Below are 14,402 nucleotides of genomic sequence, written 5' to 3'. Positions count from 1 at the left end.
AAGGATGATTCCTTGTAGAGTTTCCAAAGGGAATGTATTCATTGTTTCTTTCAGGTTCTAGATGTGACTGGCATTCCTTGGATGGAGGAGATATCACTATCTCTACTTCTGTTATTACATAGCCTTCTCCTCCCTCTGATTGCCTGTGTTCTTCTTATAAGTACCCCGTGATTACATTGGTCCCACCCAGATAATCCAGGATAATCTCCCCATCCTAAACTTTATTAAATCTGCAATGCAACACTTCTGTTTTTTTTTTTTTTTTTTTTTTTTTTTTTGAGATGGAGTTTTGCTTTCTCACCCAGGCTGGAGTGCAGTGGTGCAATCACGGCTGACTGCAACCTCCGCCTCCCGGGTTTAAGAAATTCTTGTGCCTTAGCTTCCCAAGTAGCTAGGATTACAGGCATGCGCCACCATGCCCAGCTAATTTTTGTATTTTTATTTATTTACTTTTTTGAGACAGAGTCTCCCTTTGTCTCCCAGCTGGAGTACAGTGGTGCGATCTCAGCTCACTGCAACCTCCACCTCCCAGGTTCAAGTGATTCTCCTGCCTCAGCCTCCCAAGTAGCTGGGATTACAGGTGTGTGCCACCATGCCTGGCTAATTTTTGTATTTTTAGTAGAGATGGGGTTTCACCATGCTGGCCAGGCTGGTCTTGAACTCCTGACCTCAAGTGATCCACCTGCCTCGGCCTTTCGAAGTGCTGGAATTATAGGTGTGAGCCACCGTGCCTGGCCAACATTTCTTTACCATGTAAAATATAGCCGTAGGTTTCAGGCATTAGGACCTGCCATCTTTGGCAGGGAAGGGACATAATTTAGCCTGCCAGCTCCATACAAAGATCATGAGAAAACCTGCTGATTATAAGCAAATCTGGATTTATTAAAGTTACTAATAAGGAGAAGCATCACCATAACAAAATTTTAGTCTCAAAATGTCTCAAAAGGGGGAAGTTAGGGAAAGGTATTACTTACAGGATTTGAGAGGAGGCTGGTGTTAATCATAGGGGGGAATTTATGGTGCACGTTAGTAGCCAGTGCAGGGATTGGTTTAAATTTGTCAACTAGATGAGCTACTAGAGCATATGTGTCTGCAGAGTTACAGTTACATCAGTTCATCTGTGGTTTAACTTCTAAGTCTCTAAGCAAGTTGGTGTTAGAACAACAAGGGCTTCAATTTTGTGTTTGTGTTGCATGTCACGGAATGGTACAGTTGATTCATTTTGCAAATCATTATAGTTTTTGCTTCATTTCTCAGTCTCCTTTCTTTCAGCCAATCTTCAACCCAAGCTGGAAGAAACACCATCATTACCTGGGACGTGATCAGTCCAGATCTGCATTGCTATTTAATAAGTTGCAATGGTGTATTGAGTTTTTCATGGTAGTTATTTTGACCTCTTTATGAAACCTTCTCATCCTTTTTGTTGAATGAACATCTGTAAATTATCTAGTTTAACAGTGGATGTGCAGCAGCATTCAAGACTCTGATGATCATATATCTAGTAACTGCAATGCAGACAGACACTAAGACAAAGATGATTATAGAGTTCACAGGGTATTTCAAAGCCATAGTCCCAGGTTTTCAAAACTGGACAATGGAAGCATGTGCCATAATCCATTTAGATCTTCCTTATATAATCAAGTGTCTTTTACCCTTTAATTTGGGTAGGGTTTGTTCAACCTTACTGCTGTATGAAGAATTGGTCCCATATTTGTTAATTGTCAAATGTCTTGGGAATACCATGAGTAAAGGACAAAGGTGTTCATTAACAATCAAAGACCTTAATCCAGAAGAGGGGGAATAAGATAGCCAAGAGGATAAAGATGCAAAGCCAAAAGGATAAACATATAAAGAAGAACATGGCAATTTATGCCCCTGGGAAACCCTCGATTCCTCCAAGCAGAATTCAGTGTTCCTTTTCTCTGTTCTTTTAATACTGCATGCAACACCTCTATCATAGTACTTAACACACTGCGTTGGCATTTTGTCTAAGTCATCTCTGTATCCTGAGAATGTAGCAGAGTACTTTGCTCATAGCAAATCCTGGGTAAATATTGATTAATCTTATTTTTGGTGTGACAACTGTGTGTCAAGCATTGCACCAGTTTTTTTGTATACGTTATGTTAATCCTAACAGGAAATCTGCAAGATATTTACTATTATCCCTGCGTTATGTATTAGAAAGTGAATAACTTGCCCAGAGTTTTGAACCTAAGTTCAAGATCTAATGTGTCTGACTCCAAATTCAGTACGTCTCCCATTGCTTCAAATGAATTAATAAATCTCCTTCATTTTTCCGACAACTACTGGTCAAAACTCAATATCCCAATATTAACATTAGCATTAAGCTTCTGATTTCATTTTAGCACAATGTTGCATGTTCTAATACATTTTTACTTGATTCATCCTCTTAGGTTACAGAGAAAAATGGCCCCCAGGTATGTTAACATCTCATGTGTACTAATTTTATTCTGCTTCATAGGGAGGTTGTTTGTGTGTGTGGTGTGTGTGTGTGTGTGTGTGTGTGTGTGTGTGTGTGTGTGTTTGAGACAGAGGCTCACTCTGTTGCCCAAGCTGGAGTGCAGTGGCCCAATCTTAGCTCACTGTAACCTCAAGCTCCTGGACCCAAGCTATCCTCCTGCCTCAGCCTCCCAAGTAGCTGGTATTATAGCTGCACACCACCACATTTGGCTAATTTTTAAAATTTTTGGTGGATAAGGAGTCTCACTATGTTGCCTAGGCTGGTCTAGAACTCTTGGACTCAAGTGATCCTACCATTGAGGCCTCCCAAAGTGCCAGAATTACAGTTGAGAGCCACTGTACCATGCCTAATTAGACAGTTTTTTTATGATGATTCAGGGTCAAGGTTTGGTTAATTTTCCCTTTCAAGGGAAGGATTGTATTTAACCGCCAGTCTAGACATCATCTCTGAATAACTAAAAAAGTCCAAACATATTGTTATTTTGAAATTGTAAAAGTAATATATCTGAAAGAAAGGAAAGTGTGGCAGGAATGTGTTAAAGATAGTAAGAGAGCCTCATACTTGTTAGAGAAGCTGGAGATTACCCAGATTATTGTTTTTGTAGCCATGCTAGATGTAGCAGTTTGTATTAAAGGGCCATATGGAATTTTTATGAAAATTTTAGAAGTACATGAAATAGTTCCACGACGAACACAAGCAGTGAGAGCCCAGCTCTAAAGTTAGGTAGATCTGAGCTCCAATCCTACTTCCCCAACCTAATAGCTGAGCAAGCTTAAGCAAGTTACTTAACTTTTCCTAAGCTTTAATTTCTTTATCAGTAAAATGGAGAGAAAAGAAGTGTATTAGGTAGGGTAGCTGATCACTGTAACAAACAGCATCAAAAATCTCAGGGGCTTTATTTATTTATTTAGAGACACAGTTTTGCTCTTTCGCCCAACCTGGAGTGAAGCGACGTGATCTCTGCTCAATGCAACCTCTGCCTCCGAGGGTTCAAGCAATTCTCCTGTCTCAGCCTCCCGAGTAGCTGAGATTATAGGTGCGTGCCACCACGCTCGGCTAATTTTTGTATTTTTAGTAGGGACGGGGTTTCGCCATGTTGGCCAGGCTGGTCTCTAACTCCTGACCTCAGGTGATTCACCCGCCTCAGCCTCCCAAAGTGCTGGGATTACAGGCGTGAGCCACCGCGCCCAGCAGCATAATTTATGTTTCTGGTCATGCAGTTCTCACAGGCAGCATTCCTCCAAGGATTCATCTATGACCCCAGGCTTCTTCCATTTTGTGGTTTTGACCTTCTCTAGATTCTTTGAAGTCTTCATTCAGCCCGCAAGTAGGGAAAGAAAGAGAATGTGGAAGATTTGTAGGAGGTTTTTGAGACCTTATGGGTCAAGCCTTAAATGGCTTTCATTATTTCTGTCCACATTCTGTGGGACAGAAGTCAGTCACAAGACCCCAACTAATTGCAAAGGAGGCTGGGAAATGTGGTCTAACTATGTGCTCAGGGGGAAAAGGACACAGTTTGCTGTCTCCTCCACTTAAGGTCATGAAGTTGTTTTAGGGTGTAACTGAGATAATGTATGTAACATGCTTAGAACAGGGTAAGTAATCAACAAAGTTATGTATTATTGTCAAAAATATGTATTCTGGGAGCCTGAATAAGTTTCCTGCAGTTGGAAGTGGAATACAGTCATACATCACATATCAATGGGGTAAGTGCTGAGAAACGTGTCATTAGGCAATTTTGTCGGTTTCAGAATATCACAGAGTGCACTTACACAAGCCTAGATGGTATAGCCCACTACACACCAGGATTATATATTATAGCCTGTTACTCCTAACCTACAAACCTGTGCCACACATTACTGTACTGAATACTATAAGCAACTGTAACAAAATGGTATTTGTGTAGCTAAACATATATCTAAACATAGAACAGATACAGTAAAAATATGGTATTATAATTTATAGGACCACCACTGTATCTGTGGTGTGTTGTTGACTGAAATGTCACGCGGCACATGACTTTATTTGTTTAGAGGTTCTAGCAAGGGAACTTAGCTATGAAGAAAAGTCCTTACCTTTTTAAGGTTATGTGAAGTTATGATCTCTAACTGATTTGGCAGCATCAGGAAGTGTAAACACAGAAAGGTGAGGGGGGAAGGGTTTGCCATGTGTTCATATCAGTTTAGTTAGCTTAATATCAAAAGATTATAATTTAGATAACAAAGTGTTATAATAAAAGTAAAAATTCTGGTCAATTCTCTCTTCCATATTCCTTTTCTCTGCCACTTTCTTAAGTCATTGACGATGACTTAAGGTTCCTCAGGTGCAGCATACTTTTACCTATTTTCTCCTTTGTTAAGACTTAGACACTAAGATCTCTAAGAACAGAGGCCCTGTTTGTCTTGCACATTATTTTATCATAGCGTCTAGAAAAGCCTGGCACATGGCAGGAAGGCAAGAACTATCTGTTGAATAAATTTAGTCTATATTGGCAGTTGCTTCAAGTACTGGCTAAAGGGTCTGGGCAGAGTATTGGAAGGATAATTATTTTTTAAATCTTGCTTCTGCCACTTAGTATCTGTGGGATTTTGGAAAGTTACTCAATTTCTAAGACTTGGCCGGGCACGATGGCTCACGCCTGTAATCCCAGCACTTTGGGAGGCTGAGGTGGGCGCATCACAAGGACAGGAGATCGAGACCATCCTGGCTAACACAGTGAAACCCCGTCTCTACTAAAAGTACAAAAAATTAGCCAGGCGTGGTGGCAGGCGCCTGTAGTCCCAGCTACTCAGGAGGCTGAGGCAGGAGAATGGCGTGAACCCAGGAGGTGGAGCTTGCAGTGAGCCGAGATCATGCCACTGCACTTTAGCCTGGGCAAGAGAGCAAGACTGCCTCAAAAAAAAAAAAAAAAAAATTTCCAAGACTTGTCTGTTTTCTTGTATTGGATGGGCACGATACTTGGACATGATACTTTTTGAAATTATTGTTATGAGCATTACATTTTTAAAATGTAGTGTTTTTAGCACATAGGAGGCAATAAAAAAAACCTGCTCCTTCTCCGAACACTCCCTGCCTCTCTACAACATACCTTTTAGTTGGAAGAGCCTAGGAAATACCTAGGAAATGTGTTATTCAAGTTTTTTCCTTCTGTTTTTGGTCTGCTCCTTTACAATCAAAGCAAAGAGGCCTTCAAGTTGAGAACTAACTAGTTCCCAAAGGACTGATGGGTTCACTGTAAATAGTGTTTGGCACTTAGAACCTTTATGCCTGACACACAGTTCAACACATATTTTTTGAAAGAGTAAATTAATTAACAAGGTACTGAATAAGGATGATGCTCCAACCAGATAATTATGGGATGGACATGCTTTATTTATTTTTAGAAACAGTGTCTTGCTCTGTCATCCAGGCTGGAATGCGGTGGTAGGATCATAATTCACTGCAGGCTTAAACTCCTGGGCTCAAGGGATCCTCCTGCTTCAGCCTCCCAAGTAGCTATGACTATAGGCTTATGCCTCCATGCCCAGTAGACATGCTAAATGTGTGAAAAAGTGGGCAGATTTTATCAAATGAGAGGTTTGGAGTGATGGTGTGTCCGAATGCGTGATTTCAAAGCGTTCTCATTCATTCGTTCAATCACCATCTACTGTGTATCTACCTTGCATCAACCATAATACTAGCATGGATGTATCTCTGCACCCCCATGTTAGTGCAATTAGTCAATCACAATAATAATTAGAGAACAGAAGGATATATGAGTAACAAAAGGAAATCAGTAACTGCTTATTGGTATGTGAAACAGCATGACATCCAAGTATGTCAAGTAGTGTGATACTGTCTGGAGTGCATTTAAAGGAATCAGAAGAGATGAGGCTCAACAAGTAGTAGGTAGGTAGGGGAATTTAGAGGAATGGGAAGAGACAAGGCTCAACAGGTTTAGGTGGCCATGTGAGTTGGCACATGTGGAACTTCAGGTAAGATATTTCTTAAATAGACTGAAGAAACTGACACAGAGAAAACTTAAGTATATAAGATAAAGTAGGTCAGTAATGCCTATTCTTAGTTCTAATTCCCCATCTTCTTCTAAATTGGTCCATGTATTTCATTTCACAATTACACATAAACCTCTACAATGGTCACTGATTATTTACATACTTAGAAACTTCTAAAATGAGGCCAGATCATGAAGAACCATGTATGCCAGGTTGAGAGTTCTTAATTTCATCCTTTAGGGTAGCGATGGGGGAGTTACTGGAAGATTTTAATGCAAAGAAAAGACAATCACATTTTGGTTTCAGAAGGATCTGAATTGGAGAGTCAGGGTATAAAAGACAGAGAATCAGCTAAGAAGTTACTAAAACAGTCTAGTATAACAGAGATCATAAAGGCTGGAACTAAGGCAACAGAAGTGGGGTTAGAGATGGGATGTGTTTGAGAGATAAAAGTAGATTAGGCTTGATGAGGGAAATAAGACAGAAGGAGAACTCAGAATCACAGCTTTCTGAGCGGAGCTTCTGGACATGTGGTGAGGCCATTAACGGATATAGGGAACAGTATGGATTAAAGATGTAGGATGCTGGGCAAGGGCAAGAGAAGTTCAGTATTGGCCATGGTGAGTTGGCATCTGTGGAACTTCAGGTAGAGATATTTCCTGAATAGACCAAGGAAACTGACACAGAAAACTTAAGCATATAAGACAACATAGGTCAGTAATGTCTACCCTTAGAACAATTCCCCATCTTCTTTTAAATTTCTCCATATATTTCAGTTCACAACCACACATAAACCTCTTCAATGATTACTGATTATTTACATAGTTAGAAATTCTACTATGTATACTTGGAAAAAAATAAAATATTTCTAACAGCAGCTTGTTTGTTAATAGGGTAAACATGTCAACAATTATTGTCACAAAAGTGGTCTGAAAGAACCTCTTTGGTAAAAGTAATAGTGTAATACTTTCCTGTTATGTACTTAGGAATGACTGGCATTTTCCCTAAGGATAAAATATTCAGCTGTTGATAGCTAGACCATGTTAGTGTTGACCTCAGATTGGGGTTTACCAATGCAGAGGCTCAGGCCAATCAGTAACTTATACAGTGGAACCCATAGACCAGTAGCAATGATGGCTGATAACATGTCTTGAGAATTTGGTAATTCCACTGCCCAGTGGACGTGGGGCAGCAAACTGGGCACCAAACCACAGATGGATTGCAGTACACTGAAGGAATTCATTATAGTTTTGTGAAATTGGAGGCTGGCTTGACAAAGATGAAGCCTGCTGGGATTAAAAACTTGTGTGTTCTTGGCAAGAGCATGTTGCTGCAGAATTTCACCAGCCATAGTGGGGAAAAAAGAGGGGTGAGGGGGCGTGGGGAAAATGGGAGACCACAAAATTCCTGATATGATACATAAAATGTTAAATATCTATCAGCTTTGCATCCTTTGAGAGTCACCAGATTGAAGCACAGTATTTTGGATTTGGCTGGCAGATGGTGTACACAGACTTTCTGAGAATGTTAGCATTTCATTTGAAACTAGCAAGATTACATGTGACTATCATGGTAACTTAGCACTCACATATTTTTCAACTTATCCCTAACCCTGGGTTGAATGTAGAGGCTCTAATAACATATAAAAGGCTTTGTTAATGTATGGTCTGGGTCTCATTGAATAGTATTTCAGGATGTAATACTTCTTTTAAAATGTCCACAGGGCAGTGTCAACGTCTTTCCATGGAAATCTGGCTCACCCAATAAGAGAAAAGAGGCCAAAGGTAAGAAAGACTAAACCAGGGGAGATGGCAGGCAGTGATGTCTGGACTGTTTGAATGGGACTTCTCCATTTACCGCCCCTCTCACTTCCTTCTATGGTCTGGACCTTTAATCACCACAGCAGTCAGCCATGTAGGGTCAAGCTAATCGCTGTTGACATCATCCTACTACTTCCCTTTTCAAATTCCAGTGAAGCTATGTGTTTCCTGTCCTATTCCACACCCTAGAGAATGAATACCGGCCAGCTAGTATCTAAATTTAGAATGGCAGCAACGTGTCGGGTTTTCGGAGTAGAGATAAACAAAACCAGGTGACATTTCCAAGCCTCTCAAGGAAAGGGGGGAAAAAACCTTTCTGGGGTAAGTAAATAAGGAGAGCTTCAATAGTTCCATGGTAGAGAGAGGCCTGCTGGAAGGTTCAGAAAATAGGCCGTTTGGAACCTTCTCCTTTAAGCCAGGAGGGCGGCTTTGGGAGGCGTCTTGAAATACATTCTTGACTCTGCTGGGAAAGCTCGGGGAGCCAGAGGCCTAATACCCCCCACTTCAGGGGAAGCTGTGAAGGCAGCTGCACCTCCTTTGTCAAGCTGTTGGTTTCAACCACAGACACGAGGACACACTTGAGGTGGGGGGATAAGGGGAGAAGCCTGCCGCCCCGCCCCACCCCCGCCAGCACACCGCCCTCGCCATTCCTCTCCCGCCCCGCCCCGCCCGGCGTCTGTGACCCCGCGGGCCGAGCCTCAGGCGACCTGTTGGCAGGGAGAGTCACGTGATGCGCCGGCTGTGCACTCCCCTCGGGCGGGCCTCCTGTTGCGCCCGCCTGGCGAGTTCCATCACGTAACGCGCGGGCGCCGCCCAGCTCTTCCCTCGCTGAGCGAGGGAGGGCGGGCGTCGAAGAGGAAAGGGAAGGGGAAAGGGGCGGGAGAAGGGAGGAGGGGCGGTGTCCGAGTCACGTGACCCGGGGCAGCCCGGAAAGCTCCGAGGAGGAGCCTGGCGCCGCCATTTTCCTGCAGCTGCCTGTTCCTCTTACCCTGCCCGGCTCCAGCTGACCCGGGAAGGGGTGGGCTGAACTGAGGCGGGGGCAAGGGAGTGCCCGACATCTTGTCCGACTCCGCGGGTGACACGAGCCGGTTCTCTCTGGACTGGTGGCAGCGCGCGGCCCCGAACCGCGCCCCAGGCCGGCAGGCGGGGAAGGAGCCGGTGGGGGTAGGGGGTGCGGTGGGGGGTGGGGACCCTCCGGCTCTTGGGGGTCCCAGTCCCCGCCGGCTGCTGAGCGGGTGGGGTGGTGGAGGAGCTGCAGAGATGTCCGGCCAGAGCCTGACGGACCGAATCACTGCCGCCCAGCACAGTGTCACCGGCTCTGCCGTATCCAAGACAGTATGCAAGGCCACGACCCACGAGATCATGGGGCCCAAGAAAAAGCACCTGGACTGTGAGTGAAGCCGACCGCGGCCCCCGCTCCCCGGCGCCCGCGCGACCCGCGCGCGTCCTTCTCTCTCTCTCTTGTCTTTCACCCTTCTACTGCCTCTTCCCTCCCTGCGTCTTCTCTGGCACGGCCGGTCCTGTGCCCGTTGAGCTGTGTTCTTTTGCTTCCATCACACCTGCCTTCACGGCCTCCGCTCCCCGTCTCAAAATCTGACAAGCCACTCCCCTCCCTATTCCTAGGGGACCCTCGTCTCCCTGCCCGGTGCGCTACCACACCCCATCATACCCAACCAACTTGCTTCCCCACCTGGCTTCTCACCCCCTACCCGTCTCCACTGCAGCCTTCTGCTCTTCCTTCCCACCCGTCCGGTGCCGCCTCGTCGCCCTCGTCTGAGCGTCTCCAAGCCCCATTGTTTCTTCATCAGCCTCCTTCGGGTTTCAGTAAACGCCTGGTTCCTTGCATCCAGATCCTTGTTATCCCTCCGGGCTGCCTCCCTGGAAGGGATCCCCCACTTCCTTTGCTCCACTAGCTGCTTCGCCCATCCCTTCCTGGCTTTCTGTTCCACCTTCCCTCCTGCTTTTGGGTTACCTTTTCATCGCCTCTATAGTAGCTTCAGTGTAGTTTCTTCGACTCATTTTAAATACCATACCCAGTTACCCGACTTTTATTTCAGATTACCTTCTTTGTGGGAGTGAAAGTAAAAGGATTCAATTTGGTGTAGGGAAAGCTTTCTGGAAAGTTGGGATTTTTATTTGCCTCTGGTGGAATTTAATCGTTGTGTTGTCCATACTTTTGACTGGGGTGAGTTTGTGACTGTCAGCTCTGCCCCCCAGCTTTTCACATGGGGATATGGAAAAAGGCATTTTGCTGATACTCTTATCAGTTCCTGGAACTGTTAATTCTGGCGGCTTGAATTCAGAAGCTTGAGTGTTAAGCGTAGACTGTTGGAATTCCAAATGGATTAATAAATTTACTTACAAATAACATACATCCCTTAAAAAAATTGGCAAAATGATGTTTGATGATGCTTGAGTTTGGATGTTTTAATTATGCCAGTTACCTTTTGAGGAACTAGCTTTAGCTTCTCTTACACGACATAGTATTCGTCCATTCGCTAACGTAGATACAATTAGTAGAGCTAACTCCTCGTAACTTTTTTCTAACCTGGAAGTCACCTGTAATACCCTCCTTTTTCTTTGCGCTCTTTTACCCCAGGGTACAAAGCTCATTGGATCACTCAAGCCAATGGAGCTTAGACCTGAAACTTTTCAGGGAAAAATAGGGCAATAGTCACGATAAGTAAGTTCCCTTTTTAAATGACTGGACACATTAGTCTGACTGACTTTCATCATACATGAAAGTTACTTTGTTTTACTGTTTGAAGCAAGAGTGAGCATGCCCTGAAAGATAATTCACTGTCTGGAAGCCTGTTTTGATTTCTCATTTGGACTTTGGCCGTAAAGTTTGCACTTTAAAAAAAATGTACGAAATGTAGATTCTTCCAAGTTACTGTGCTCATGAATGCTGTTAGAACAAGTTTTTGCTACACAGAAGCCTATTATTCTTTGTGATTGTTCCTCCACTGTGGAAAAAAGTTTTAAATAAAAAAGCATTAGTGCTTGATTCTTTCAGATATGCATGCAGGCTGCTTTTAAACTCTCAGTCCTTGCTTGTCTTAGAGAATGGAGAATATGTTTAAATGGTGACACTCTTATGAACAGAAAACTTTTTAAAATGCATCGTAAAGCCATATGTGATTTTTTGATTATCTGATACGTGTAGTAGACGTTTCTGCTATTTACGGCTCTTCAAATACTACTTGGTTTGCCCTACCAAATCTTACAGTTTGTCCTGACACTGTGTTAATTCTTTTGTTAGTTGCTTTTGGTTTTTTTTTGTTTTTTTTTTTTGTATGGGAGTATGAAGAAACTAGTTGTGACTGTGTGAACTATTTTCCTCTTTCCTCATTCAAAATAAGAATCGATAAGGCTTTTAAAAGTTTTTTTTGTAAAGGTTTGTGTCTTATTTCAAATGTAGCAGTGGTTCTTTTAAAGCATTGTCAAAAAGAGGAGAAAATAGGTAGGGTTAGAAGAGTGCTATTTGCATGTTGTTTCATAAATGTTATTAGCTATTTCTCTTGTTATAGCCACTACTGCAGATAGATGGTAACTGGGATTAGGTTTGGAGGATAATCTTGCATTTGTCGTTCTTTTTCTCTACCACTTCTGTGTTTACAAGCTCCCACGTTTTTGGAACTTGAATATACCTGGTAGTATTTGATTTAAAAATATATGTGTCGTTAATGTGCTTCTGTTTCTTTTCAATGAGGTTTTAAAATACAGGGATACTATTTTCCCTACATTGTTGATTAAAATGTCCTGTAATCAGTTCTCACTAATAAAATACCTTTATCTTAGGTAAAGTCTGACCAGTGAGTGGTTTACTAAACAAATACCTTCCTTGCACACACTAACATGCTTTGAGAAAATTAAAAAGTCTTCTACGGACAGTTCATGGTGTTGACATCATGAACTTTAGGCTTTAATACAGAAACCTGTCATTTCAAGTAATTTTTTGTCTTTTAGGAATTTTTCTTTATAGTGAAAGCTTAGTTTATGTGCACCTTTTAATGCCCCTAGCAACTGATGCTTATTTATATGAATCTAATGAAAATGATTTCATTTTAAAATGGCAGCATTTAACAAAAAATATGCTTAGGACTGTTGTTTTTCGTATAAGCCCTTAGAGTGTGGAGGTGGTTTCTGTCAGTTTCTCGCCAAGATCTTTCCACATTAGGAAGTGATTATTAATAATTCATGAATTATGGCTTAATTCATACTACATTATATACTTACTGAAGAAAGATTTTTTTGCTTTGCTTATACTGTAGGTGTTAGTGGATAATAGTGTTGACTAGCATCCCTAGTGTGAAAGAGTTGTCAAACTTGAAATATGTTTGTAAAAATAAACACGATTTCCGTTTAATCTTAGGCCTTTAGTAGCCATAATCAAGGTAGAGGAATAGCAGCCCTTATATTTGAAGAACTTCAGTTTTCCAGGCACTTTCTCATCATCTCATTTAATCCTGTCTCACAGCTGGAGGTGGGGGCAATTCATATACATAGAAAGTAGCTTCTAATTCCATTTAGCAGTACAGAATGCTTAAAAGAACCATAATTATTGCAGGATAGAAAAAACAAATTTTTTTTTTTTTTGAGACGGAGTCTCGCTCTGTCGCCAGGCTGGAGTGCAGTGGTGCGATCTTGGCTCACTGCAACCTCTGCCTCCCAGGTTCAAGAGATTCTGCCTCAGCCTCTTGAGTAGCTGTGACTACAGGCGCATGCCACCACACCCAGCTAATTTTTGTATTTTTAGTAGAGATGGGGTTTCACCATGTTGGCCAGGATGGTCTGGATCTCTTGACCACATGATTCGCCCGCCTCGGCCTCCCAAAGGGCTGGGATTACAGACGTGTGAGCCACTGTGCCTGGCCCACAATTTTTAATTTATAACTTCTTAATATAAAAATCATTTTTATCTGATCTTACAATCTTTAGTCTTAACCCCACCCCTTTTTTTGGATACAGGGTCTTGCTCTGTCTCTGGTGTGCAGTGGCAGGATCATGGCTCACTGCAGCCTTATCCTCCTCAGGCTCAAGAAATCCTCCCACATCAGTCTCCCAAGTAGCTGGGACTATAGGCATGTGCCACCACGCCTGGTTAATTAAAGAAACTTTTTATTTTTGGAGAGATGGGGGTCTCCCTATGTGGCCCAGGCTGGTCTTGAACTCCTGGGCTCAAGTAATCCTCTTGCCTCAGCCTCCCAGAGTGCTGGGATTACAGGTGTGAGCCAGCATGCCTGGCCCTTATCCTATTTTTTGATATGAATTCTTAATTTTCTTTATTCTTATTTACTATCGTTGGACATTTATATTTTGACATATTTCACTGAAATGTAATATTTATACTAATGGCTGTAATGTCTCCTTTTTTTTTTTTTTTTTTAAAATGAGGTGGGTCTTACTCTGTTGCCCAGGCTGGAGTGCAGTGGTGGAATCACATCTCACTGCAGCCTTGACTTCCCGGGTTCAGACAATCTTTCTGAGTACCTGGGACCACAGGCATCTGCTACCACGCACAGCTAATTTTTAATTTTTATACAGACAGGGTCTCCTTGTGTTGCTCGGGCAGGTCTCAAACTCCTGGGCTCAAGGATCCTCTCTACCAGCTGAGCCTCCTAAAGTGCTGGGATTATAGGTGTGAGTCACCATATCCTGTATGTCTCTGTTTTTTAATTCATATTTTCCCCAGTTAATTTACAGGGACATTTCATTTCAACCACTGCCTTATCTTTTCTAAAACAAAATCAAGATCAAGTTCTTACTAAGCATCCATTATCAACATATCTCTGGTCGATACAGCATGGTTATTTGTATGTTGTGAACTGGATCTAGAAATTGGAAATAAGTTTTTAAAAAGTAGGATTTGAATATTTTGCATATGTAGAATTTGTATTTGGGCTAGTGGTTTGTGTAACTACATTAAAAATGCGTATAACATACCAGACTGTACCTGAATTAATTCCCTTTTAAAGCACAAATGGTTTTTAATGTCTCAGTTAATAATATCTTATGGGTGCTTAGTTTGCGTATTGTCAAGAAGGATCTGGTAACTAGGATGTGATTTCTAAGAAGATGCATGTAAGGAAGAAATAAAGTAGAAGA

At 42.3% G+C, this 14,402-nt stretch overlaps 1 protein-coding gene and 1 long non-coding RNA gene across 32 annotated transcripts in view, besides 8 other annotated features; one reads left to right on the top strand and one right to left on the bottom strand.

Annotated features, from left to right (window-relative positions):
* On the bottom strand, positions 5,834–8,411 carry LOC124902731 (uncharacterized). Its single transcript, XR_007062823.1, has 2 exons — positions 6,638–8,411; positions 5,834–6,017 (listed from the first exon to the last, which is right to left on the bottom strand). It is a non-coding gene; the product is annotated as an uncharacterized LOC124902731 (long non-coding RNA).
* Positions 8,262–9,461: an enhancer, noted in NCBI's record as "MED14-independent group 3 enhancer chr11:85779916-85781115 (GRCh37/hg19 assembly coordinates)". NCBI's record gives its function as "activates an origin of replication core promoter dependent on BRD2, BRD4, P300/CBP and CDK7 cofactors, and independent of MED14, by STARR-seq in HCT116 cells {active_cell/tissue: HCT116}" and the evidence as "EXISTENCE:reporter gene assay evidence [ECO:0000049][PMID:35650434]".
* Positions 8,262–9,902: a biological region, named in NCBI's record as "MED14-independent group 3 enhancer GRCh37_chr11:85779916-85781115".
* Positions 8,475–14,402, top strand: part of PICALM (phosphatidylinositol binding clathrin assembly protein) — a 112,686-nt gene continuing 106,758 nt past the window's right edge. For 28 of the 31 annotated variants that reach the window (XM_047427669.1, XM_047427667.1, XM_047427665.1 and 25 more), the window contains exon 1: positions 9,251–9,684. In XM_047427669.1, coding sequence (XP_047283625.1) covers positions 9,555–9,684 — 130 coding nt within the window. In that variant the 5' untranslated portion in view covers positions 9,251–9,554. Of the gene's footprint in view, positions 8,616–9,250; positions 9,685–14,402 lie in introns of those variants that run through there. The other 3 variants (XM_047427666.1, NM_001206947.2, XM_047427660.1) reach the window with 1 other exon arrangement.
* Positions 8,737–9,006: a silencer, noted in NCBI's record as "silent region_3826". NCBI's record gives its function as "represses an Ori minimal core promoter by ATAC-STARR-seq in GM12878 lymphoblastoid cells {active_cell/tissue: GM12878}" and the evidence as "EXISTENCE:reporter gene assay evidence [ECO:0000049][PMID:35858748]".
* Positions 9,157–9,326: a silencer, noted in NCBI's record as "silent region_3825". NCBI's record gives its function as "represses an Ori minimal core promoter by ATAC-STARR-seq in GM12878 lymphoblastoid cells {active_cell/tissue: GM12878}" and the evidence as "EXISTENCE:reporter gene assay evidence [ECO:0000049][PMID:35858748]".
* Positions 9,201–9,902: an enhancer, noted in NCBI's record as "NANOG-H3K27ac-H3K4me1 hESC enhancer chr11:85779475-85780176 (GRCh37/hg19 assembly coordinates)". NCBI's record gives its function as "activates a minimal SCP1, AML or CMV promoter by ChIP-STARR-seq in primed H9 embryonic stem cells {active_cell/tissue: H9 hESC(primed)}" and the evidence as "EXISTENCE:reporter gene assay evidence [ECO:0000049][PMID:30033119]".
* Positions 9,467–9,516: a silencer, noted in NCBI's record as "silent region_3824". NCBI's record gives its function as "represses an Ori minimal core promoter by ATAC-STARR-seq in GM12878 lymphoblastoid cells {active_cell/tissue: GM12878}" and the evidence as "EXISTENCE:reporter gene assay evidence [ECO:0000049][PMID:35858748]".
* Positions 9,587–9,636: a silencer, noted in NCBI's record as "silent region_3823". NCBI's record gives its function as "represses an Ori minimal core promoter by ATAC-STARR-seq in GM12878 lymphoblastoid cells {active_cell/tissue: GM12878}" and the evidence as "EXISTENCE:reporter gene assay evidence [ECO:0000049][PMID:35858748]".
* Positions 9,903–10,605: an enhancer, noted in NCBI's record as "NANOG-H3K27ac-H3K4me1 hESC enhancer chr11:85778772-85779474 (GRCh37/hg19 assembly coordinates)". NCBI's record gives its function as "activates a minimal SCP1, AML or CMV promoter by ChIP-STARR-seq in primed H9 embryonic stem cells {active_cell/tissue: H9 hESC(primed)}" and the evidence as "EXISTENCE:reporter gene assay evidence [ECO:0000049][PMID:30033119]".

Source organism: Homo sapiens, chromosome 11 (genome assembly GCF_000001405.40).
Source record: "Homo sapiens chromosome 11, GRCh38.p14 Primary Assembly".
Classification (NCBI taxonomy): Eukaryota; Metazoa; Chordata; class Mammalia; order Primates; family Hominidae; genus Homo; species Homo sapiens.
The sequence above is the reverse complement of the archived record's forward strand: the minus strand, read 5'-3'. Positions and strand labels throughout refer to the sequence as shown.